Genomic DNA, 25,591 nt, shown 5'->3' with positions numbered 1-25,591 from the left:
TGAGCCAGGCTTTTACATTTACCTAAATCTGAGAGGTAACCCTTGGAAGATTTTAAGCAGAAAAGTGATAGGGTCAGATTTGCATTTTTAAAAGATTGTTGCATAAAAAATGGAATATGGAATAAAGGAGGGAAGGAGGAGGCAAGTCAGGATGATGGTTACAAGAGAGGTGGCTATAGGTACGGGGGAATATGGAAGGATCGAGGATATGTGTTGGAAGTAGTGTCAACTATACCCCCTCATGAATGAAATGGGGAGGCAGGGGGTGAGGAAAAATGAGATCAAGGCTAGATCTCATTCTTGCTTAAGTGAAGTACCATAGGTTTCTTTTCCTATCCCATGTCTGACCCTGCACACCCACAGATCTGTTTCCGCCAAAGCCTCTCCCAACTTGTTCTCCAGGAAAACAAAAACTGTAGTTGCTCTGGCTGGACACCCTGATGAGCCTGATTGCTCTCTCCCCTGCACACCTCATACCTACTCCAGCAACACATCTAGTCAGCTTTGCATTCCAAATATGTCAATCATCTATCTGCTTCTCTCATGTCAGATGCTAATTACATGGTCCAAACGAGTCTCCTGCGGCATCTGGACCATTTCTACAGCTTCCTAGGATACCTTGCCCTCCATTCCTGCTTCCACCCAACATTGTCAATCTGAGAAGCAACATTACCTTCCTAAAATGTAAATCAAAACTGACAAGTCACTGTCAGTTCAATTAATTTCACATTACAGCTTCTACAGAAGCCAGCACTCTTTGCATTTGCATAGTCTTAAAGGAGCCATGCAACCTCACCTGTCTACCTGATTGTTTGAAAGCATCCCACTACCTGTTGTGACCTGCCAGCTGTGGGTTTCCTTTCTGTCTTAAATCATGCCCAGCTCCATCCTGCCTAAATGTTCTTGTTCTTGCCATTCCTTCCAATGAACTTCTCTTCCTCCATATATGCACAGTTCTGCCTTCCCTCATCAATCATATTGCAACTCAAATGTCCCACTCTCAGATGGGTCTTGCCGGAGTGCCCCAGCTGAAGCATTTCCCTTGCCACTGCATGTTTTGGTTGGAGAAGTGAGTGTAACTCTTGGTCCTGCTATTCCTTGCTGCTTTGTCATGGAGCTGGCCTTGAGTACTTTCCTCTATCACTTTTCCTTGAAGAATCCTCTATATAGTATTCTAATACATGGATGTTAGGTCTTAAGTGATTATAAGGGATTTAATCACAATAATCTATGATAGCTCTAACACACAGGTATGGTGAGATACCTTGTGTTTTCTTCTTGATTAATAACCCAGGACGAGTAGTCAAGTAGCTCATAGCCCCCGAATTAAAGGCCTGGCCCCTAACTGGCAAGACATGGCTTTCTGCGGTTCTTTAGCCTGGGACTGATTAACTGAGTGCTTTAATGTAGTAGGTTTTGTCCCTCTGTGGACATTGATGTTCTTTCTTTTTTCCTGGTAATTTCACTGTCTTGTGTGTTGAACATGAGTGAAATGATTGAGGTTCTACAGGCAGAGAAAATCCACTTCTGGACCACTGGGTAAAGACCCCAGGGAGACATGACCTTTACCAAGTTTTTCCAGGGGAAGATACAAGGTGGTGGCAGAAATTAAACTCTGGGCCGGGTGCAGTGGCTCACGCCTGTAATCCCAGCACTTTGGGAGGCTGAGGCAGGCAGATCACGAGGTCAGGAGTTTGAGACCAGCCTGACCAACATGGTGAAACCCTGTCTCTACTAAAAATACAAAAATTAGCCGGGCATGCTGGCATGCCTGTAATCCCAGCTACTCAGGAGGCTGAGGTAGGAGAATTGCTTGAACCCAGGAGGCATAGGTTGCAGTGAGCAGAGATAGTGCCACTGCACTCCAGCCTGGGTGAATGAGTGAGACTGTATCTCAAAAAAAATAAAACAAAGGAAAAAAAAGAATTTAAACTCTGTGTGAGACACATCCTGATTTGAATCCTTCCTTCTTTTGGCTCTTAGCTGAGTGATGTGATGTAACTCCTTTAGTCTCTCAAAATCTCTGTTTCCTCCATGGTCATGGGCTCATTTTTTAGGACTGCACTGACGATCAAATGAGGAATCACATTCAGAGTGTCTTTCACTTCTGAGCACAGGGAAACTTGTGGGGCGAACCCATCTTCTGGTTACTCCAGGTCATGACTTGCCTGAGGCTTGCCACTTCTCCTCACCTCTCAGGTACAGCTATCATAACTGCAGCACAAAATTCCAGCGTTCCTCTCTGTGGAAGGCAGGCCCCTGACTTTCATCAGGAGGTGGGTGCAAACACCATGGCACTGTCAGTTCCGATGTTGCATCTTAGCCCTTCTGTGATCTATAGGAGAATCCACGGTGGAGCCTTATCTTTTGTCATATGAGCCTGGGAGCCATGTCTGACTGTTATGCAATTGCCTTTTTAAATAGTCATTGTGGACTCGTAGGGGTGGCTCATGCCTGTAATCCCAGCACTTTGGGAGGCCAAGGTGGGGTGGATCACTTAAGGTCAGGAGTTTGAGATGAGCCTGACCAACAGGGTAAAACCCCGTCTCTACTAAAAATACAAAAATTAGCCAGGTATGGTGCGTGCCTGTAGTCCCAGCTACCGGGAAGCTGAGGCAGAAGAATCTCTTGAACCGGGAGGCAGAGATTGCAGTGAGCTGAGATCATCACTCTGCTGCACTCCAGCCTGGGTGACAAAGCAAGACTCTGTTAAAAAAAAAAAAAAAAAAAAAAAAAAAAAAGGTAATTGTACAGATTCATCTGCAACGAATGCATGGATGCCTCTGTTACCTTCTGTTTGAGGAGCTCTATCCTGGGTGACTAGCGCCTTTGCAGCCTGTGTGATTCTCTGCAGGTGGAAGTGTGAGGGTATTACCCCTCTGAAAGGATTCAGCCTGTGCCTGGCCTGTTCCTTCTGGAGAAGCCCCAGAACTGGGGAGTGCAGCAGGTTCGTGGGTCCTCATTTCTTCCATGCAGATGCCCAGCCTGCTGGCCCTGTCAGCCGAGTGCCATTAGGCACAGTTTGTCCTAGGTGCTGTCCGCATCCAGGCTGAGTTCCTATAGTTGCTTTTAAAAACAAGAATAAAGTAGAATTTTAGCAGAATCCTTTAAGGTATTCTTTCAGGAGTGGCAGGAATGGCAGTTTGCAGACTGATTATTTTGATTATTTGAATTTATTATTATTATTATTATTATACTTTTTAAGTTTTAGAGTACATGTGCACAATGTGCAGGTTTGTTACATATGTATCCATGTGCCATGTTGGTGTGCTGCACCCATTAACTCATCATTTAGCATTAGGTATATCTCCTAATGCTATCCCTCCCCCCTCCTCCCACCCCACAACAGTCCCCGGTGTGTGATGTTCCCCTACCTGTGTCCATGTGTTCTCATTGTTCAATTCCCACCTATGAGTGAGAACATGCGGTGTTTGTTTTTTTTTTCCTTGCAATAGTTTGCTGAGAATGATGGTTTCCAGCTTCATCCATGTCCCTACAAAGGACGTGAACTCATCATTTTTTATGGCTGCATAGTATTCCATGGTGTATATGTGCCACATTTTCTTAATCCAGTCTATCATTGTTGGACATTTGGGTTGGTTCCAAGTCTTTGCTATTGTGAATAGTGCCGCAATAAACATACGTGTGCATGTGTCTTTATAGCAGCATGATTTATAATCCTTTGGGTATATACCCAGTAATGGGATGCCTGGGTCAAATGGTATTTCTAGTTCTAGATCCCTGAGGAATCGCCACACTGACTTCCACAATGGTTGAACTAGTTTACAGTCCCACCAACAGTATAAAAGTGTTCCTATTTCTCCACATCCTCTCCAGCACCTGTTGTTTCCTGACTTTTTAATGATCACCATTCTAACTGGTGTGAGATGGTATCTCATTGTGGTTTTGATTTGCCTTTCACTGATGGCCAGTGATGATGAGGATTTTTTCATGTGTTTTTTTGGCTGCATAAATGTCTTCTTTTGAGAAGTGTCTGTTCATATCCTTCGCCCACTTTTTGATGGGGTTATTTGTTTTTTTCTTGTAAATTTGTTTGAGTTCATTGTAGATTCTGGATATTAGCCCTTTGTCAGATGAGTAGTTTGCAAAAATTTTCTCCCATTCTGTAGGTTGCCTGTTCACTCTGATGGTAGTTTCTTTTGCTGTGCAGAAGCTCTTTAGTTTAATTAGATCCCATTTGTCAATTTTGGCTTTTGTTGCCATTGCTTTTGGTGTTTTAGACATGAAGTCCTTGCCCATGCCTATGTCCTGAATGGTATTGCCTAGGTTTTCTTCTAGGGTTTTTATGGTTTTAGGTCTAACATGTAAGTCTTTAATCCATCTTGAATTAATTTTTGTATAAGGTGTAAGAAAGGGATCCAGTTTCAGCTTTCTACATATGGCTAGCCATCCCTTGTAAGTTGGATTCCTAGGTATTTTATTCTCTTTGAAGCAATTGTGAATGGGAGTTCACTCATGACTTGGCTCTCTGTTTGTCTGTTATTGGTGTATAAGAATGCTTGTGATTTTTGCACATTGATTTTGTATCCTGAGACTTTGCTGAAGTTGTTTATCAGCTTACGGAGATTTTGGGCTGAGACGATGGGGTTTTCTAGATATACAATCATGTCATCAAATAGGTTTTCATCACGTGTGATTTATTTTTCATGCTGGCATGAAAAATCTGTTTACTCAACTTCTGCAAATTAGCCTAGATCACATATCAGTTCCATAAAAAAAAATCATTCACTTCAGTAGCAGTCACAACAATGACTAATTAACGCCCTATTAGTTCTCTCAACAGAAGTTGTGAAATTATGAGTCCTAGGAGACTCACCAGGCAGTTGTGGTTTGTGGCAATATTCCTTTGTCTTTTTTCTCTCTCTTTCTAAGTTTTCAAGCTAATGGTAGCTCAGGCATCATCTGCTGAAATGGAAAAGCACAGGGCATCCTTTGGGGAGGTCTGTGGGCAGACTGGGTCTCTCCAGGGGACACTGGGGAAGATGGGAAGGACAACTTGGGGCCCATCAGCTCTTGAACAAATGCTCTGTGTCATAGAGTGATTGAAGTGGAAACCAATGATAAATTGGAGAGAGGAACTCACGCTTCACAGCCCCCTGATTTTAATGTTCCGTGTGGAGTCACTGCAGCACGCTGCATTTCCAAATTAAACAAAAGGAGAACCTCTCACACACAAGCAAATGCAACACATTCTCTGGAGTGATGTCTGTTATCCAGAAGGTTTGCGAGCAATGTCCGCAACATATGAGAACCTCACTTTGAGGAAGAAGAAATTTACCTTAAAGCCACTGTCACAGGCTTTCCTTTCCTCCCATCTTACATTCACATTAACAAACTGAACGGATTTAAGTGACATTATTATATTTTTCTTAAGTGAACATATTTTCTTTCTACTGCTTCACAAACCAGATTATTATAAGAAAAAATGGTAGTAATGGGTAATAGGGAAGCTCTACTTATATTTAATATTTCCCAATCACTAGCAACAATAGTAGTTATTTTATAGGAAAATATAATATGGTTGTGGGGAAAAGATTTATAGGTAATACAGAAAAAGAGCTTTTGTTACCTCCATAAAACAATAGCATGGAACAGATTTAATAATAACAGAGATTCAGTTCTCAAGATCAATAATTTCATTTTCCATTGTTGTACAGTATTGTCATCTGGGGGTTCACAGCCACAGAGCCCACATTGAGTTACTAACAGAACTTTGTTTATAGACCAGAAAAAGTCTTGAAACTCACAACCTAATTTACAACAACCTCTTCTAGTAGCAATTTACTCAAATCTGTCCAAAATAATATAATATGCCTAGAAGGAGAATGACTTTCAGTTCAGTATAATGTGCAGAAGCAAAACTCTAGCTCAACTCCGTGACATGCTAATGTGTCACCCCCTGCTGCTTCCAATCTACCTGTTGTCCCCCAGGAGAAATAAGGAACGGCCACTGTCTGGATGATGCCATTTAAACTTAGGGGGATAAGAACTTAAACTTTTCATTGCCTTCCTCCTCCTCAAAATCCTACTGATCCCCAGCCGCAGAACCTGCCAAAGTCCTCACGGTCCATCTCCCTCTAGGACAATCACAGAGAGACAGGCTCTCAGGAACACATCTGTGAGATGTTCACAGTCTATAGTAGTGCTTTGCTTTCTTTACTTCAAATGGACAGCACAATGGTGGATGTAAAATTTGATTTGAGTGATAGAAAGTAGCATTCCCAAACCCTATTTGTAAATACTGTGTTTAGCAGAGGAGTGAGTTCTTATTGCTTTCTAAGAATGTTATGGAATTTATATGGCATTGAAATGTGCATCAGGATCAATTTAAACAGAGCTCAGGGTAGCTGAGACTTGTGTGACAAGCAGCACATTGTTGAGAAGATGAATCCCTGAGACACACAGATCTAGGTTCAAATCTGAGTCCTGCCCATTGATTAGTTAAATGACCATCATAGAATAGATTGATTTTATTCCTCTATAAAAATATAAAAATGATATGCAGTATTGAAACTTCAAAATTGTTGGAGAGTTGAAGGATAACAATATATGTGAGACATTTTGCAAAGCATCAAGTAAATACCAAGACTTAACAATGCCAATGTCTTCATAGTTAACAGTGATTCTAGGAAGTAAAGACTAATACCAGGTGTTATTCTAGGATCAAATAAACACAATGCAGTTCTACAAACTCCCGGGATGATATTTCAACTTAATAAGTGACTTCTTTCCTTATAAAGCTAATTTCATGACTACTTGAAAATTAAAAATTGAAATTCTTTTCAGTCCAAGATGAATATGATGTAGTCTTCTCTCAAAATGAATAAAATATCCTGTGTAAGTCAAGATCCTTCTAAAGCAGGCTTGGAAAGGCACTCTGTTAAAATGTTGAATTTCCAGGAAGTAAAAATAATTTCTTTTTTGTTTGTTTGTTTGTTTTTTGAGATGGAGTCTCACTGTGTCACCCAGGCTGGAGTGCAGTGGCCTGATCTTGGCTCACTGCAGGGTCTGCCTCTTGGGTTCAAGTGATTCCCCTGCCTCAGTCTCCTGCATAGCTGGGACTACAGTCATGTGCCACCACACCCGGCTAGTTTTTGTACTTTTGGTAGAGAAGGGGTTTCACCATGTTGGCCAGGCTGGTCTGGAGCTCCTGACCTCAGATGATCCATCCACCACGGCCTCCCAAAGTGCTGGGATTACAGGCGTGAGCCACTGTGCCTGAACAATGTCTTTAAATCAACATGATTAAAAATGAAAGTAATTTTAGAACTGAGCTTTCTTTGTTGTTGTTTTTACTAACAAACAGAAAAATTTACTTTTATGGGGTATATTTCCGAATTTAGATAATTGTGTAAAGTTGTGTAACCATCACCAAACTTTGTACTGGCTTAATCCTCAAAAGTAAACCCCAGATAAAGGGCATATAAGACATTTTATTAAAGAATTATCTTCTTCTCAATATAAATACATTTCTTATGATTTATCCAGAAGAAAAGGAAACAAATATGATTACTGATGATTCATGAAAGGAGATATGATAGGAAAACACACAATGCTGGCATGCTGGCAACTGCAAATCCTTACAGCATTTTCAGTGACTGCACTTGCTTTCATATGGAATGTGCAGAGAAGCCTGTCTCAGTATGAGCCTCATATCTCCCAAATTCCCAACAGCCTTGCCCTCCAGCCACAGAACTTAAAAATTATGTAAGGAGGCTGCTCGGAGCTCATTTAGCCGATGCCAGAGGCACAGATTCCGTCTCTTCATATGGTCATGAAGCCTCTGCTGGAAGGGCTAGGGACACATTTCCTTGAGGAAGTAGTCAATTCAGTGTCAGTCAACTCAAAATGCCTGAAAACTTTACCTGAAAATTGCCTTCCTGAAAATTCTTGCAGTTGTTTCCAGGCCTTTCTTTGGGATCATAGAGTATGAATGCATTGAATTTTCATAAACTGAATTCCACAGCTATATTTCCCTTTCTGAATTTCTAGGTTCTTTAATTTTTTATATTAAATGATTTAAAGCTTACATTTTTCATTTGCCACAGGGAAATATGAGGAGACCTAGATGACACCGCACACCCTGTAGGCTGATTGAAGAAGAGAAATTCCTAGCTTAGGGATCCTGGGTCTTTTATAATAGGCCATAAGCCTGCCTACTCTTTGCTTGAAGGGAAACATAGTAAGCACGTCTGCCCTCTGTCACTGTCTTCCAAAACTTTTCGCTATAGAAGTATTCTGGAAAGGACAATCTAGAATAAAGCCAATTATTATCTCTGTTCACAAGACTTTCAGAAACTCAAGAAACACATAGACAATTGGCTTTCAACGTTTGGTTTATTTCAAATGCTGAAATGGATTTCCAGCTAATCAGCAGACATGTTTACTCACTTCACCTCCAGGCAAGTTTATTCTACTTTAGTCATATGTTCTTTCCTCTGTTTACACAAATGAATGCAGAGAGTGATAATCCAAAATATTTTCCTTTTCATTAAATGTATAAAGATTGATACTCTCCCAACTCCAGATAGATTTTATTGTTATATTTTAGTATTAACAATATAAATTCAGGAGAACAGTCAAACCAAGGACAGTTATGCTGAACACCCAGAAATAGGCAAGTTGCTTATTATTACTGAGTTACATCCAAAAGTTCTAGGAACAAAGGGTGACATAGATATGTGTTGAGCAGAATTCCCCAAACTCGAGTAAGGGAACTTTTTTAAAGTTAAGACAAAATGGCAAGCATGTGTAGTACCAATATGTAAAAGACTATCTGAAGAATCTAAAGACTTACTCAGTGTAAACATCCTCCAACAATGTTTTAAATAAAATTCTACCATCTTAACTGGTAATTACTGTCACCAGTGGCCGAGAAGCCCAAACAGAAGGGCACCAACAGGGGGTCCACATGTGTGGGTCCCTTTGGGGTGGCCTCACCATCAGAGATCTGATTGTGTGCACTGCTTCAATGACACAACCACAACGTAAAAGTTAAAGAATTTTTAGTACTTACAGACCCTGAAGGCTACATAGAATGCAAGGATGCCTCCCCACCCAACCCCCACACACACGGACGTCAAGGAGCACAAACACAGAGAGAAAGTAGGGATCCACTGGGGCAAGGTTTTTGTTGGGTGAAGGGTGTAATACAAACAGGTTTCCCTAGGAAAGCTTTAAGTGGTAGATTAAAAACTAGCAGGTACTAGTTCTAGGAGACCATGCTGTGACTGAGAGGTTGTCCCTTTAAGTTGGCAGACAAGTATCTCAATGGCCTGTTTAAAGGCAGTGTTGGGAAAGTGGGGAGCCCAGTCTGCAAGGTGGAAGAGACGACTCCAAACTGTATCTCTGACCACTGGTTGCAGCCATTTGTGTGGGGTATAGTATAAAAACTGTCAACCGTGACTGAGCCTTACTTCTGGCATGAGAAAGTCAAACATATTTAAAAATGGATACTGAGGCAACACAAAATTATAAGTATTCACGACAAATACAGATTATCAATTTAAAAGGAAAGGTTGTCCTTTATATACATAAATAAATAAAGATAAATGAACTAAAAATACAACATGATAAAGGTTTTATAGAAATTATAATTTTGGAAATTAAAAATTCAGAATTTTGTAGAATTCTTGTTCCTGAGAAGATTCCTTGTTCCCACAGAAATAGATAAGCTGTAGCTTTTAGAAGTTCTTGATAAGAATTCAAATTTTATTTTTATGGAACATAAGGTAACCCTGACTACATGTGAAACTAGTTTGTGTAAGCTTTAACAGACAGATGACCACTTTAGCGCAAACTGTGATGAAAGGAAGATTGCAAATAGCACATCAAAGCACATCAAAGTTTCAAATCCCTGTGTCTGAAGCAGGGTTCCGTGTTATCTTCCAATTCTGATCTACTCATGTCTGCAAAGTTCACATATGAGTTTTTTGTGTTTGCATTTCTTAAAGAAATACTACTCAAAAATGAGAACCAAATAATTAATGAGAGTGAAACTTTTACCCTCCTGGCACCCAGACCCTCTTGTTAGCATCACAGAATTAGTGGATTAAAGCTTTTCGAATTTCAAAAATATCCTTTTATGATAGCAAGTAAGCCCTATTATACATGCAAAGTTTAAGTTCTCCAAGACTGTTTTATTTTCAAAATCCCCACTTTATTCCCTTAATTTTCGCTTCACAGCAGCAGTTGGCAAAGGTTCTGATCATTGCTGTTTCTCACAGAGTGGAAATGAGACGTTGCCAAGTTCCACACAAGGGCAGGCATAGATGTTGTTTGAAGTCGAATCTCCACCAGGCACACCCATGACCCAGGACCTTTCCACTGTCTCTAGAAGTCTGAACATTTCAGGAGCATCAGGGATGGGGCTACTGAACTGCATTTTCCATTTATCCCTCTTAGCTGTACTCTGAGTTCAAAAGGAGGGAAAATCATTGTGATCCATTTGCCTTTGGGAGTGATGGTTTGTCCCACCCCCCCCAGCTTGGTTGTCCTGATGCCCAGAACTCACATGGAATTTCAGACATTGGACATTCTGGTCTACTATCCCTAACTCCTTCACTTTAGACAAAGTAATAGCTTATTTCCTGACTGACATCTGAAAACCTATTTATGATTTTCTCTCCCACAACTCATCTTCCAAAAGAGCCCTTCATTATGGACAGGGTGGCATTTGCCTTGAGTTATTTCAATCCCTCACTCTGCCCATCATCTCACGAGGGCCCCTGGGGCCCAGGATATTGCATGCCATTTTTCTTTGAGGACCTTTAACCTGCACTGTATTGGAAATGTAAATAATTCTCTCTAGGACATTGAAATATCCCCAGAGCTTCCTTGCAATTCAGGAATTGGAGTGTTATGGAATCTCCTAGCAAAAAGAAAATATTACCCGTGGAATCTGATTTCCAGTTCATGTCTCAGTCCGCAGATTCTGCCAATTACTCCACATTTCCTGAGCTTCTATCATGTGACTAAAACTAATAGGCAGGTCTATGATCATTCAGAATTTTTCAGGCATCATTAAGTGCTGGATTTTCTCTCTTTATATATATGAGTTTTCTGACATTTTATTTCAACATAAATGCATAAATAAATAGCTCTTTTGGATCATTCTGGGAAAGAGAATGATATAACAAATTTTTTTCATTTTAAACAAAATAACATTTTACTTGCTTTATATTTATCATTAAAAGTTAATCATATCTTAAAAAAAGGGCAATTATTGAAATGCAGATTTTTCTCATTTTCCCCAAATGACTGGTAGCACAAATGGAATGACTGAATGGCCGGCCGAGTGGCTGCCTTAGGCCCACCATTAATGAGGCTACAACCTCCCCTCACTCCTGCTGGCCCTCTTCCCTCCATCTCCCCTCACTCCTACTTTGGCAATTTATTTATTCCAAAGTACAGGATCCAAAAAAAAAAAAAAACCTCCTAGGCTGCCAATTAGGAAGCAGCCTTTCTTTGAAGGAGTATAAAAGTCCAATTCATTACATAGATTACAGCAACTGTTAATACCCTCCAGGGTGTTTTCGGAGGATTGCAACCTGGACTCTTGTTTGGATAAAGAATTGCTGGCTTATGTTGTGAGCTTATCTCAACAACTGTGGCATTAATCCTGTCATGTGAAGTTAAAGCCATCTCTCTTCCTGCCCTTCCTAGGGAGGGGACAATAACTATACAGAGATAATGGCTTGGCATTATCAGTGAAGAATGACCTGAGTTCAGACATAATCATAACAGGATGGGATGGTGATATTAAGTATATGTGGCACTATCGGTTTTATGATCATCTAGTTTTAAGAAAGTAGAGTGTTACAATCTTGAATTTATAAAAATAATTTAAAACATTATTCATACTATGAAAAACTTTCTAAGAGAGAGAGAAACGGAGAAGAGACATTTACCTTACAATACTGACTCTACCAGTGCAATTTAAAAATTTTTTCATTGTAATTATAACCAAATTCCTATGTGTGTGTTCATTTTACACATATTAATTGCTCTTAAAAAGTCTGTTCTTTAATGTTTGTATATGAAATAAGATGCTCATTTTTCCCCGACAGCCTGACATGTACTAAACACTCATCTGTTGTTGAGCAACTGAATTGTTATCACCAAGTTTTCATTGAAGTTGCACACTGCATCCTAACTTCCTTCCTAAGATAATACACTGGCCATGTTGTCGCATGTGGCTTTTTGTTGAACTAATCCTTGGTCTTTTAGTGCTAAGGTCCATCACCAGTTGTCAGGTTTAAGCGTTTTGGAAAACAGAAAACACAAAATGGAATGTGTGAGTTAAAACATAGCAGAGATGATGTTGGGAAATCAGTTGTACCAGCTGTCAATTTGTCATGGTCTCCTCTCCAAATATGCCCTTATAGTCTTATTCTGTGATGTGGCCTGGCCCCCTGAGTATTTCTCGCTCTTCAGCTCACCTCTTCAAGTCACTAAGTACAGGTCTGTAGATCTGCATCCATACTCACGCTCTAGCAAGGCTGTGGCCCCTCCTGGCCTGCAGAGTACTCACTACCAGGCTCAGCCAGGAGTGGACTGTGGGCCAGCTCCGACTAGGGGCTATCCAGCCACTTTCATTACTTTCATGGCATCCAGTGAGCTGAAACCATCCCCTCTCCAACAGAGTCTCAGCCTCAGAGGAACTTGGTGGGGGTGTGCCCATCAGACCAGGATTGCTCCCTTCTTGGTACGCCTAGGTATCCTTTCCGGTTTTTTTTCACCTCCTCTCTTTTGTTTGTTTGTTTTAGAGACAGAGTCTAACTCTGTTGCCCATGGCGGAGTGCAGGGATGTGATCATAGCTCACCTGCAGCCTCAAACTCCTCAAGTGATCCTCCTGCCTCGTCCCCGAGTAGTGAGCAGCTGGGACTACAGGCACAGAAGCGTGTACCACGACTATGCAGCTAACCTAATAAAGTTTTTTTTTTTTGATACAGGCTCATATTGCTAAGGCTGAACTCCTGGCCTCTAGCCATCCTTCTGCCTCAGCATTCCAGGGCAGGGCAGCAGGGATTATAGGTGCTAGTTACTGAACCTGGCTTCATCTCCTCTTAATAATCTCTCTATAGATAGATAGATGACAGATAGATAGATAGATAGAAATTATCAATGTGATAGATAATTGCATAGATAATTTCTATAGATAAGTGTATAGATAGATAATTTATATCTGTCTATAGATATAAATATATATAAATATGTCTACATCTATAGATATAGATATAATTTATATCTATCATCTATCTAAACACACACATATGTATGTGTGTGTGTGTATGAATGTGTGTGTGTATATATCTATATCTATATCTATATATATGCATATATTGCCCTCCTCGTTCAAATTACTGAGTGGTTTCTGTCTCCCATATCCTAAATGACACAAAAACACTCATATACTTAGCTCTCTGATATGATTTGGCTGTGGCCCCAACCCAAATCTCATCTTGAATTGGAGTTCCCATAAACCCACAAGTCATGGGAGGCAGCAAGTGGAGATAATTGAATCATGGGGGTGGTTTCCCTCATCCTGTTGTCGTGATAGTGAGTGAGTTCTCACAAGATCTGATGGTTTTATAAGGGGTTTCCCCCTTTGCTGGGCACTCATTTTTCTTCTCCATGCCACCAGGTGAGGATGGGCGTGTTTGCTTCCCTCTTCCCAATGATTGTAAGTTTTATGAACCCTCCCCAGCCATGCTGAACTGTGAGTAAACTAAACCTCTTTCCTTTATCAATTACCCAGTCTTGAGTCTGTCTTTATTAGCAGTGTGAGAACAGACTAATATACTCTCTTATTGCCCTTTCAAATACACCCATCAAAGAATGCTTATTTATATTTACCAAAAGGAGTAGAATGTCTAAACTTAGGAAAAACTTGTTGCATATTTGTTATTTAGACAGGGTTGAGCGTTGATGCTGAACTGGTACAAATTTCAAACATCGTAACTCCTCAGGTATCTAGGCCCTTTGGAAGTCTGAGACTGCACAATTGAACTGTCATAAATAAACCTCAAAGAAAAACAAACAAAAAATACAAAAAGCAAACTTTGCTATAGGACTTTCCCTTAAAACTAGTGTTGGTGGGAGTGTAAATTAGTTCAACCATTGTGGAAGACAGTGTGGTGATTCCTCAAGGATCTAGAACCAGAAATACCATTTGACCCAGCAATCCCATTACTGGGTATATACTCAAAGACTTATAAATCAATCTACCATAAAGACACATGCACATGTATGTTTATTGCAGCACTGTTTACAATAGCAAAGACTTGGAACCAACCCAAATGACCATCAGTGATAGACTGGATTAAGAAAATGTGGCACATATATACCATGGAATACTGTGCAGCCATAAAAAAGAATGAGTTCATGTCCTTTGCAGGGACACGGATGAAGCTAGAAACCATCATTCTCAGCAAACTAACACAGGAACAGAAAATCAAACACCACGTGTTATTACTCATAAGTGGGAGTTGAACAATGAGAACACATGGACACAGGGAGGGGAAGATCACACACCGGGGCCTGTCAGGGGGTGGGCCACAAGGGAAGGGAGAGCATTAGGAGAAATACCTAATGCCTGCGGGACTTAAAACCTAGATGATGGGTTGAGCAAACCACCATGGCACACGTATACCTATGTAACAAACCTGCACATTCTGCACATATATCCCAGAATTTAAAGTTAAAAAAAAAAGCAGAGGTTTCTTAATTTAAGGTAATAAGACCAAAGAATAGATATTTTTCTAATTAACCTGAATTTTATATAAGATGAAGAGCAGGCACAGGCATGGAGGCTCATGCTTGTAAGCACATTGGGAGGACGAGGCGGGTATATTACCTGGGGCTGGGAGTTCTAGACCAGCCTGGCCAACATGGTAAAACCCCTTCTCTACTAAAAATATAAAAATTAGCCAGGCATGGTGGTGCATGCTTGTAATAGAAGCTACTTGGGAGGCTGAGACACCCGAATTGCTTGAACCTGGGAGGCAGAGGTTGCAGTGAGCTGAGATTGCGCCACTGCGCTCCAGCCGGGGTGACTGAGTGAGACCCTATCTCAATAAAACAAAACAAAACAAAGCAAAACAACAACAAAGGTGAAGAGCATATATTTATTTTAGTTTTTGTAATTTAATATATTTTAATCAATTGCTAATGACATTTTACATTAATTTAACCTTTGCATGTGCCAGACATGATGCATTAGATGTATGTCCTCATTTATCTAAGCTGTGCTAAGAGAGAAGAGATATTTTCATTCTTTGCACAGATGGTGAAGCTGAGACTATAGGAATGAAGAAGCTTGACTCAGGTCACACACATGAAAGTGGTGGAGCCAGGCCCAAACCAAGGTCTATCTGACTCTATGACTGTATTAGTCCACTCTCATGCCACTATGAAGAAATACCTGAGACTGGGTAATTCATAAAGCAAAGAGATTTAACTGACTCACAGTTCTGCAAGGCTGGGGGGCCTCAGGAAACTTACAATCATGGTGAAAGCACCTCTTCACAGGGTGTTAGGAGAGAGAATGAGTGCGAGCAGGGGAAATGCCATACATTTATAAATCCCTCAGATCTTGTGAGACTCACTCATTATCATGAGAACAGCATGAGGTAAACCACCCCTGGGCCCTTCCAAATCTCATGTCCTCACATTTCAAAACACAATTATGCCTTTCCAACACCAATCATGCCTTCGTAACAGTACCCCAGAGGCGTAACTCATTCCAGCATTAACTCAAAAGTCCAAGCCCAAAGTCTCATCTGAGACAAGGCAAGTCCTTTTCCCCTATGAGCCTGTTAAATCAAAAGCAAATTAATTATGTCCTAGATACAATGAGGATACAGGCATTGAATGGGTATATTTACCCATTCAAAATGGGAGAAATTGGTCAAAACAAAGGGACTACAGGCCCCATGCAAGTCCAAAATCCAAAAGGGCAGTCATTAATCCTTAAAGTTCCAAAATAATCTCATTTGACTTCGTGTCTCACATCCAGCTCACATTGATGCAAGAGGTGGGCTCCCAAGACCTTGAATAGCCCCACCCTTATGGCTTTGCAGATTACACCTACACTCCAGGCTGCATTTGCAGGCTGGCATTGAAGTGTCTTCAGCTTTTCCAGGTGCACAGTGCAAGCTGTCAGTGGATCTATGATTCTGGGATCTGGAGCATGATGGCTCTCTTCTCACAGCTCCACTAGGCAGTGCCCTAGTGAGGGCCCTGTGTGGAGGTTCTGACCCCACATCTCCCTTCCACACTGCCCTGGCAGAAGTTCTCCATGAGGGTCCCACCCCTGTAGCAAACATCCAGGCATTTCCATACATCCTCTGAAATCTAGGTGGAGGTTCCAACCTCAAATCTTTACTTCTGTGTACCCACAGGCCCAACACCATGTGTAAGCCACCAAGGCTTGGGGCTTGTACTTTTTGAAGCAATGACCTGAGCTGTACATTTTCCCCTTTTAGCCACAGCTTGGATGCAGGGCACCAAGTGCTGAGACTGCACAAAGCAGCAAGGCCCTGGGCCCAGCCCATGAAACAATTTTTACCTCCTATGCCTCTTTGCCTGTGATGGGAGGGTGTATTAATCTGTTCACATGCTCCTGATAATGACTTACCTAAGACTGGGTAATTTATACAGAAAAAGAGGTTTAATGGGCTCGTAGTTCTACGTGGCTGGAGAGGCTTCACAATCATGGTGGGAAGGAAAGGAGGAGCAAATCATGTCTTATGTGGATAGTAGCAGGCAAAGTCAGAGAGCCAAGTGAAAGGGGTTTCCCCTTATAAAACCATCAGATCTCATGAGACTTATTCACTACCTTGAGAACAGTATGAGAGAACCACTCCCATGATTTAGTTATCTCCCACCAGGTCCCTCCCACAACATGTGGGAATTATGGGAGCTAAAGTTCAAGGTGAGATTTGATGGGGGGACACAGTCAAACCATATCATTTTACCCCTAGCCCCTCCGAAATCTCATATACCTCACATTTTAAAACAAGTCATGTCTTGCCAACAGTCCCCCAAATTCTTAACTCATTCCAGCATTAACTCAAAAAGCCCATTGTCCAAAGTCTCATCTGAGACAAGGCAAGAGCCTTCTGTTTATGAGCCTGTAAAATCAAAAGTAAGTTAGTTACTTCCTGGAAACAATGGGGGTATATGCATTGGGTAAATACACCCATCCAAGTGGGAGAAATTGGCCAAAATGAAGGGACAGAAGTCCCATGCAAGTCCCAAATCCAGTGGGGCAGTAAAATCTTAAAGCTCCAAAATAATCTCTTTTGAATCCATGTCTCACGTCCAGGTCATGCTGATGCAAGAAATAGGCTCCCATGATCTTGGACAGCTCCATCTCTGTGGCTTTGCAGGGTACAGCCTTTCTTCCAGCTTCTTTCATGGGCTGGTGTTGAGTGCCTGCAGTTTTTCCAGGTGCACAATGCAAGCTGATGGTGGATCTACCATTCTGCGGTCTGGAGGATGGTGGCCCTCTTCTCACAGCTCCACTACCCCAGTAGGGATTCTCTGTGGGGTCTCCAACCCCACATTTTCCTTTCACACTTCTCTAGCAGAGGTACTCCATGAGTTCCCCACCCCTGCAGCAAACTTCTGCCTGGATATCTAGGTGGTTTCATACACCTTCTGAAATTGAGGCGGAGGTTCCCAAACCACAATTCCTGACTTCTGTGCACCCACAGGCTCAAAACCACGTGGAAACTGTCAAGGTTTGTGGCTTGCATCTTCTGAAGCTATGGCCCAAACTGTACCATGGCTCCTTTTAGCATGTCTAGAGCAGCTGGGATGCAGGGCACCAAGTCCCTAGGATGCACACAGCAAGGGGGCCCTAGGCCTGGCCAGGAAACCATTGTTTTCTCCTAAGCCTCTGGGCCTGTGATGGGAGGGGCTGTTGCAAAGTTCTCTGACATGCCCTAGAGGCATTTTCCCCATTGTCTTGGCAATTAATATTTGGCTCCTGGTTACTTATGCAAATTTCTGCAACATGCTTCAATTTCTCCTCAGAAAATGTGTTTTCCTATTCTATCACAACATCAGGTTGCAAATTTTGTGAACTCTTATTCTGTTTCACTTTGAAAAGTGAATGCCTTTAGCAGCACCCAAGCAGCACTCTTGAATGCTTTGCAGCTGAGACATTTCTTCTGCCAGATACCCTAAATCATCTCTCTCAAGCTCAAAGTTCCACAGATCTCTAGGGCAGGGGCAAAATTCTGCCAATCTCTTGTTAAAACATAGCAAGAGTCACCTTACTCCAGTTCCCAACAAGTTCTTCATATCCATCTGAGACCACCTCAGCCTGGATTTCATTGTCCATATCATTATCAGCATTTTGGCAAAGCCATTTGACAAGTCTCTAGGAAGTTCCAAACTTCTCCACATTTTCCTACCTTCTTCTGAGCCCTCAAAACTATTCTAATATCTGCCTGTTACCCAGTTCCAAAGTCGCTTTCGCTTTTTCATGTATCTTTAGAGCAGCATCCCACTGCTGGTACCAACTTACTGTATTAGTCTGTTCTCACACTCCTGATAACGACAAACCTGAGACTGGATAATTTATACAGAAAAAGAGGTTTAATAGACTCACAGTTCCATCTGGCTGGGGAGGCCTCACAAACGTGGCAGAAAGCAAGGAGGAGCAAGTCATGTCTTACTTACATGGATGGTGGAAGGCAAAGACAGAGTGAGAGCCAAGTGAAAGGGGTTTCCCCTTATAAAACCGTCAGAACTCATGAGACTTATTCACTACCATGAAAACAGTATGGGGGAAACCACCACCATGATTTAATTATCTCCCACTGGGTCCCACCCACAACACATGGGAATTATGGGAGCTACAATTCATGATGAGATTTGGGTGGGGTCACAGCCAAACCATATCAGAGAGGCTTCCATGAAGACCTCTGACATGTCCTGGAGACATGCCTTGATGGTTAACATTTAACTCTTTGTTACTTACACAAATTTTTGTATCAGGCTTGAATTTCTCCCCAGAAAATGGGTTTCTCCTTTCTATTGAATTGTCAGGCTGTTGCAGATTTTTCAAAAATGTATGTTCTGCTTCCTCTTGAATGCTTTGCCGCTTAGAAAATTTTTCTGCCAGGTACCCTAAGTCATCCATCTCAAGTTCAAAATTCCAAAGATCTCTAGGACAGGGGCAAAATGCTGCCAGTCTCTTTGCATAGCAACAGTGACCTTACTCCAGTTCCCAAAAAGTTATTATCTCCATCTGAGACCACCTTAGCCTGAACTTCATTGTTGATGTCACTATCAGATATTTGGTCAAAGCCATTCAACAAGTCTGTAGGAAGTTCCAAACTTTTCCACATCTTTCTGTCTTCTTCTGAGCCCTCCAAGTTGTTCCAACCTCTGCCTATTATCCAGTTCCAAAGTCACTACCACGTTTTGAGGTGTCTTTATAGCAGCACCTCACTGTCTGTGGTACAAATTTACTGTATTAGTCCGTTCTCACGCTGCTATGAAGAAATACCGGAGACTGGGTAATTTATAAAGAAAAGAGGTTTAATTGACTCACAGTTTCTCATGGCTGGGGAGGCCTCAGGAAACTTACAATCATGGTGAAGGCACCTCTTCACAGGACTGCAGGAGAGAGAATGAATGCCAGCAGGGGAAACACCAGATGCTTATAAAACTATAAGATCTCATGGGACTCCCTCATTATCATGAGAACAGCATAGGGGAACCCGCCCCCATGATCCAGTGACCTTCACCTAGTCCCACCCTTGACACATGGAGATTATTGCAATTCCAGGTAAGATTTAGGTAGCGACACAGCCAAACCATATCAACAGCCAACATTTTCCTGATGTTCAGACCCTAATATGGACAATAGGGACTATGTATTTCTTACCCACCAAAGGTGTGTTTTGAGAATCTCAAACCAAATTGGAGTAAAATTTTTTTATCCTCCAGGATATAATGAAGGGCAAAGTGTATAATGATATAATTGATATAGAAAAAGAAAGTAAGAAGAGATACTGGAGGGAAGGGAGAGGAAAAAAGGCAAACGTGGAACAATGAATTACAGAACAGGAAGAAGAAGAGAAAAGAAAGGCAAGAAAGGAGGTGAGTAGGTACCTGAGAATATGTTCATTTGGGTAGGAAATTGCTGGTGAACAGAAGGTTGATCTGGGAGCTAAGATGGCTGCAAACTTGTGAATTAAATTTAGAATGTGTTGAGTTGATGTAACAGTGCCATAGTTGTCTGCAGATGCTGTAAGAAAATATCATATATGGGTAGCTTAATCAGCAGGCGTTTGTTTCTCAAGGTCTGGGAGGCTGGGAATTCCAAGGTCAAGGTGCTAGCATATTTGATCCTGGTGAGGGCCCACTTCTTGTCCTGCAGATGGCCACCTTCTTGGTGTGTCCTCACATAGAGGAGAGACGAAGCTCTGGTGTCCCTTCCTCTGCTTATAAGGGCATTACTCATATTATAAAAGCCTCATCCCCCTCACCTCATCTAAATTTAATCACCTTCCAAAGGCTTTCTACCTCCAAATGGCATTGTCTTGAGGTTCAACATATGAATTTTCAGGGGGACACAAACATTCAATCCATTAAAAGTAACAGGACTTCCCAGAGTCAGTCCCTCCATTCCAGTTCAGAATGCAAAATGAGGAAAGCTTTTAGCCTGTCTTGGGCTATATACAAGGAAAACATTGTTTAAAATGTTTGTTTTTCCACACTTTACAACATTAAGAAGTTCTATCACAACCAACCATAAAATAAAGTTCTTTGACTTGACTCCTACTCTTTAAGGGTCTCAGGACCCTAAGTCTGTGCTCCACCCAACAATTTCATTATTGGGCATATGCCCAAAGGAATCATGACACATGTATGTGTCTGTTCATTGCAGCACTATTCACAATAGCAAAGACATGGAATCAACCTACATGCCCATCAGTGATAGACAGGATTTAAAAAAATGTGGTACATATACCATGGAGTATTATGCAGTCATAAAAAAGAACGAGATCATATCCTTTGCAGGAACATAGATGGAGCTGGGGCCATTATACTTAGAGAACTAATGCAGGAACAGAAAAGCAAAAACTGCATGTTTTCACGTATAAGTGGGAGCTAAATAATGAGAACACATGGACACATAGAGGGGAACAACACACACTGGGGTATTTTGGAGGGTGGAAGGTGGGAGAAGAGAGAGAATCAGGAAAAATGACTAATGGGTACTAGGCTTAAAACCTGGATAATGAAATAATCTGTACAACAAACCCCTCTGACACAAGTTTACCTATATAACAAATCAGCGCATGTATGCCTAACTTAAAATACAAGTTAAAAAATTTTGAATTACATACTTTCTTAAAATCTACAATAGGAACATTTAAAACATGAACCTTCAGACCCACAGAAGCTCTGGGACATTTTCTCTTGCCTCCGATGACTCTAAGAGTCCCCACTGCCTAAGTTCCTTTTAAAATGGAGTTTCCTTCATGCTCTGATGGCACCACCTGCTGGAACAAAAATGTCACCTAACACCAAGTGACATGGGCAATCATGCTTGGCACTCTTCTTCCAGAAAATGTTGACATCTAAAGTGACTTATGTTTTACCATCACCAAATTTAAGTTCAAAATTCCATGGGGCATATTAAATATAAATACTTAAGAATAAAGCATCTTACTTTAACAAATTAAATTTCATTCTATTGGCTTGGATGCCTTTTTGTTCAAATCAGCATTGTGAACTACGATAAACATCTAACCTGAACAAAGTTTAGTAATAAATAGCTGATGACATTTCCTGTGTGATTTTTATACATTATTTTCTCAAATGCTTTTACACAACATCTAGGAGGATAGACAAGCCATGGCACATGTCTGGTAAGGTTAGCAGTTCAAATCAGTAGATCAGTGAGTGTTATTACTTTTATTATTTCAACAAATTGTTGAATATATTAAACAAATTATCACAGTGGGTCAATTGGGTCAATAATATTCTTTTATGTTGGGGCCTAGGGAAACTTGGGCCAGAAATTGAAGACAGAGTGGAGCCAAAACTGAAGGGAAGCTGTTTATTAGACAAAATCAACTAGACATTGATGATGTCTCAGTCAGAGTTCTCCAGAGAAACAGAACCAATAGGATGTAGATAGGTAGGTAGATAGATCGATCAATAGACAGACAGAGATAGATTAATAGATTGATAGATCAATAGATTGATAAGTAGGTAGATAAGTAGATACATAGATTAATAGATTGATGGGTAGGAAGTAGATAGATGATAGATTGATAGATAAAGATAGATTAATAGATTGATAGATCATTAGATTGATATGTAGGTCAGTAAGTAGATAGATAGATACATAGATTGATAGGTAGGTAAGTAGATAGATAGACAGATAGAAAGGAAGAGAGTTACTTTGAAGAATAGGCTCACATGATTATGGAGGCTGAGAAGCCCAATAGTATGCAACCTGCAAGCTGGGGGCTCAGGAAAGTGAGTGGTGTAGTTCAAATCCAAACCCGAAGGCCCAGAACCCAGAAGTGCCAATATCTGAGGGAAAAAGATGGGTGTCCCAGGTGAAGAAGAGAGAGTAAATTTGCCTTTTCTCCACCTTTTTGATCTACTGGATTCCTCCAGGGACTGGATGATGCCTGCTCTTATGAATGACAGGTGAGAGTGGATCTTCCTTACTCAGTCCACTGATTCCAGTGCCCATCTCTTCCAGAGACACGTTCACAACCCAGAAATAAAGTTTACCAGTTTTCTGGGCATCTTTCAATCCAGTCAACTTGACACATAAATTTCACCATCACAGCTGATGACTAGAGAGTCACTCTCTCTCTCTCTTTCTCAGTTGCTGCTGCTTTCTTTCTCTCTTTCACACATACACATACTCAGAAACTCATACACACACTCATACATACTCACACATACTTAAACTCACACACACACTCAGAGCTCCGCACCATCTGAAGCTTAGATGGCAGCCCCTGAGGTGGTCTGTCCGTGGGCACAGGGAGAGCTGTCCTGGAGTGCCCTGCAGGAGGGCTCATGCTCATGACACCAGACCTCCAAAGAGGGGACCTGAACAGTTATCCTCACTGCCCACCTCTGCTAGAGCAGGAAGATAAGTTGGAGGATGTTATCTTGTTGTTTATAAACTGTTAATGAGTGAACAGTTCACAGCTCTGTAGTTGGCAGATGGCCGTCAGTATTTGTCATACCCTTTCAGAGCCTCAGTTCAAGATCAAGACCACACATTAATATACACATAGCAGGCCAGGCGCAGGGGCTCATGCCTGTAATCCTAGCACTTTGGGAGGCCAAGATGGGCGGATCATGAGGTCAGGAGATGGAGAACATACTGGCTAACATGGTGAAACCCCATCTCTACTAAAAATACAAAAAATTAGCCGGGCGTGGTGGCGGGTGCCTGTAGTCCCAGCTACTCGGGAGGCTGAGGCAGGAAAATGGCGTGAACCCGTGAGGCGGAGCTTGCAGTGAGCTGAGATCGCGCCACTGCACTCCAGCCTGGGCCACAGAGCGAGACTCCGTCTCAAAAAAAAAAAGAAAAAAAAATATATATATATACACACACACACATAGCAGTGATCCAGAAACCCCTGGTCTGCAACTAATAAATATGTAAGATGATAGATTAGTTAGCCTGATTTAATCATTTTATATTGTAAACTTATATAAAGCATTGCATCGTACCTCATAAATAAATATGAGTATTTGTCAATTAAAAATAAAAATTATAAAAATGAAGCAAATAAAAGCACTTTAGCATTTATTATCTTCTGAAAACATTTCCACCAATGCAAATTTTCTATTTTAAAATGAAGTTTTCTTTTCATTTCTCTTATTCTAACATTCTCCCTAACTACCCTTCTTCCCAATTGGCTTTCTTTTCATTCATTTTGAGATTATTTTCTTTCCACGAAAAAACAATTAGCAAATTCGGAGAGCTTTTGAATCTTACCTCAAGATCCACCATAGGATTGTGCTTTCTTTCCTGTTGGCTTTCACAGAGCTTGTGATGGAGCCACGCTGTGAGGCTGTTTATGCAGCCTGCCCCACTAATTTCCCTCTCACCGTCTGTAGTGAAGACCTTTATCTAACTTTAATACAGCAACACATGATGCTCCTCGATGAAACAGCTTCTTCCTTCAACATATGGTGTGTTCCTCTTCGTTGTCGAAGAATGCCTCCTAATTCTTCTTAGTACAAATTTCTCTTCATGTTTTCTGTACAGATAAACTAAATAGTACTATAACGCTCCTCCTAAGTAAACAGTATGCCACTGGATGATATTTCCAAATTGTATTGTGTATTTTCCTGATGTTTCTTATTTGCAGATTGTGACCAGGTATACTATAGCATCATTGAATGTTTTCATTTCACACTTTGGAGTTTGGACTTCTCAGCAATATTATTTCCTAGTCATTTATTAGAGTTTGATATTGGGATCTGCATACCAACATTTCCTTATATCTACCCACATACTCATCACTATGGAAACAGCTGCCCCAACATGGCATGATCCACTCCGATGTGTACGAATCCCATGACTCTGGCACTTCTTTGTAGGTGCTCCAGGAGAAACTCCTGGCAAAACAGAAGAAACATGAACAGCTGGAAAATACACAGTGAATACCCACATTCTTTATGGTTATATTAAGCAGAACATTATTTTAGACAGAACATACACTCAGCCTTTTAGACCTATGGGTTCCCTAAACCAGGTCAAAAATATGGGAAAAAGAAAAATAGATGGTTGCATCTGTACTCAATATGTACAGGCTATTTTCTTGTCATTATTCTCTAGACATCAAAATATAACAACTATTTGCATAGCATTTATATTGTGTTACATATTATCAGTAATCTAGAGAGGATTTAAAAGATATGAGAAAATGTGTCTTACACACATATTATATGCAAATATATATATGGGACTAAAGCATCTCTGTATTTTGGTATCCTTGAGATAACAGGGTTTATGTGTGTGTGTGTATGTGTGTGTGCACTCTCTATACTCAAGTGCATTGAACTCTATCTAGCTAAGTGATTCAGGGTGAGTTGATAAGCATCACTGAGTCTCTTTCCACATTTGTAAAGTGGGAATAGCAAAACTAACTTACAAAGATTGTTGTGAGAATTTAATATGACAAAAATATTGAAAGTATGTATGCCAGGTAAATAATCATCAACCCAGTCACATTTAGTTCTCAGTTACTTTTCTTTGCCTCCTTCTCTTCCTCCTTCATTATCTTCTCATTTTAAAATGTATTTTCCTCTCTGTTAGGCACCCTGCTGGCCAGTAAAGGACAATAATTTTGACTTCTGGATGTAAACCAGGAAGTTGCATGTTTAACAAGCATCTCTAGAGACACTGATACAATTGATCAGCTCTTTGCATTTTGAGGAGGTGGGGAACATGCTAACAACATCTGCAATGTGGATTATTAAAAGAAGATTTTCCCAGCTTTGGCTGTACACTGAAATCTCTAGGGTGTGTTTAAAAATCCTGTTGTCCAAGCA

The 25,591-nt window shown here is 41.0% G+C and overlaps 1 long non-coding RNA gene across 2 annotated transcripts in view; it reads left to right on the top strand.

Moving 5' to 3' along the window:
* The window catches only part of LOC101929307 (uncharacterized), an 88,088-nt gene extending 66,251 nt beyond the window's left edge, over positions 1 to 21,837 (top strand). For both annotated transcript variants that reach the window (XR_007058687.1, XR_925772.4), the window contains exon 3: positions 19,991 to 21,837. This is a non-coding gene — a long non-coding RNA (uncharacterized LOC101929307). The remainder of the gene's footprint in view (positions 1 to 19,990) is intronic.
* The last annotated feature ends 3,754 nt before the right edge of the window (positions 21,838 to 25,591 follow it).

This window comes from Homo sapiens, chromosome 5 (genome assembly GCF_000001405.40).
Source record: "Homo sapiens chromosome 5, GRCh38.p14 Primary Assembly".
In the NCBI taxonomy this organism is placed as follows: Eukaryota; Metazoa; Chordata; class Mammalia; order Primates; family Hominidae; genus Homo; species Homo sapiens.
The sequence above is the reverse complement of the archived record's forward strand: the minus strand, read 5'-3'. Positions and strand labels throughout refer to the sequence as shown.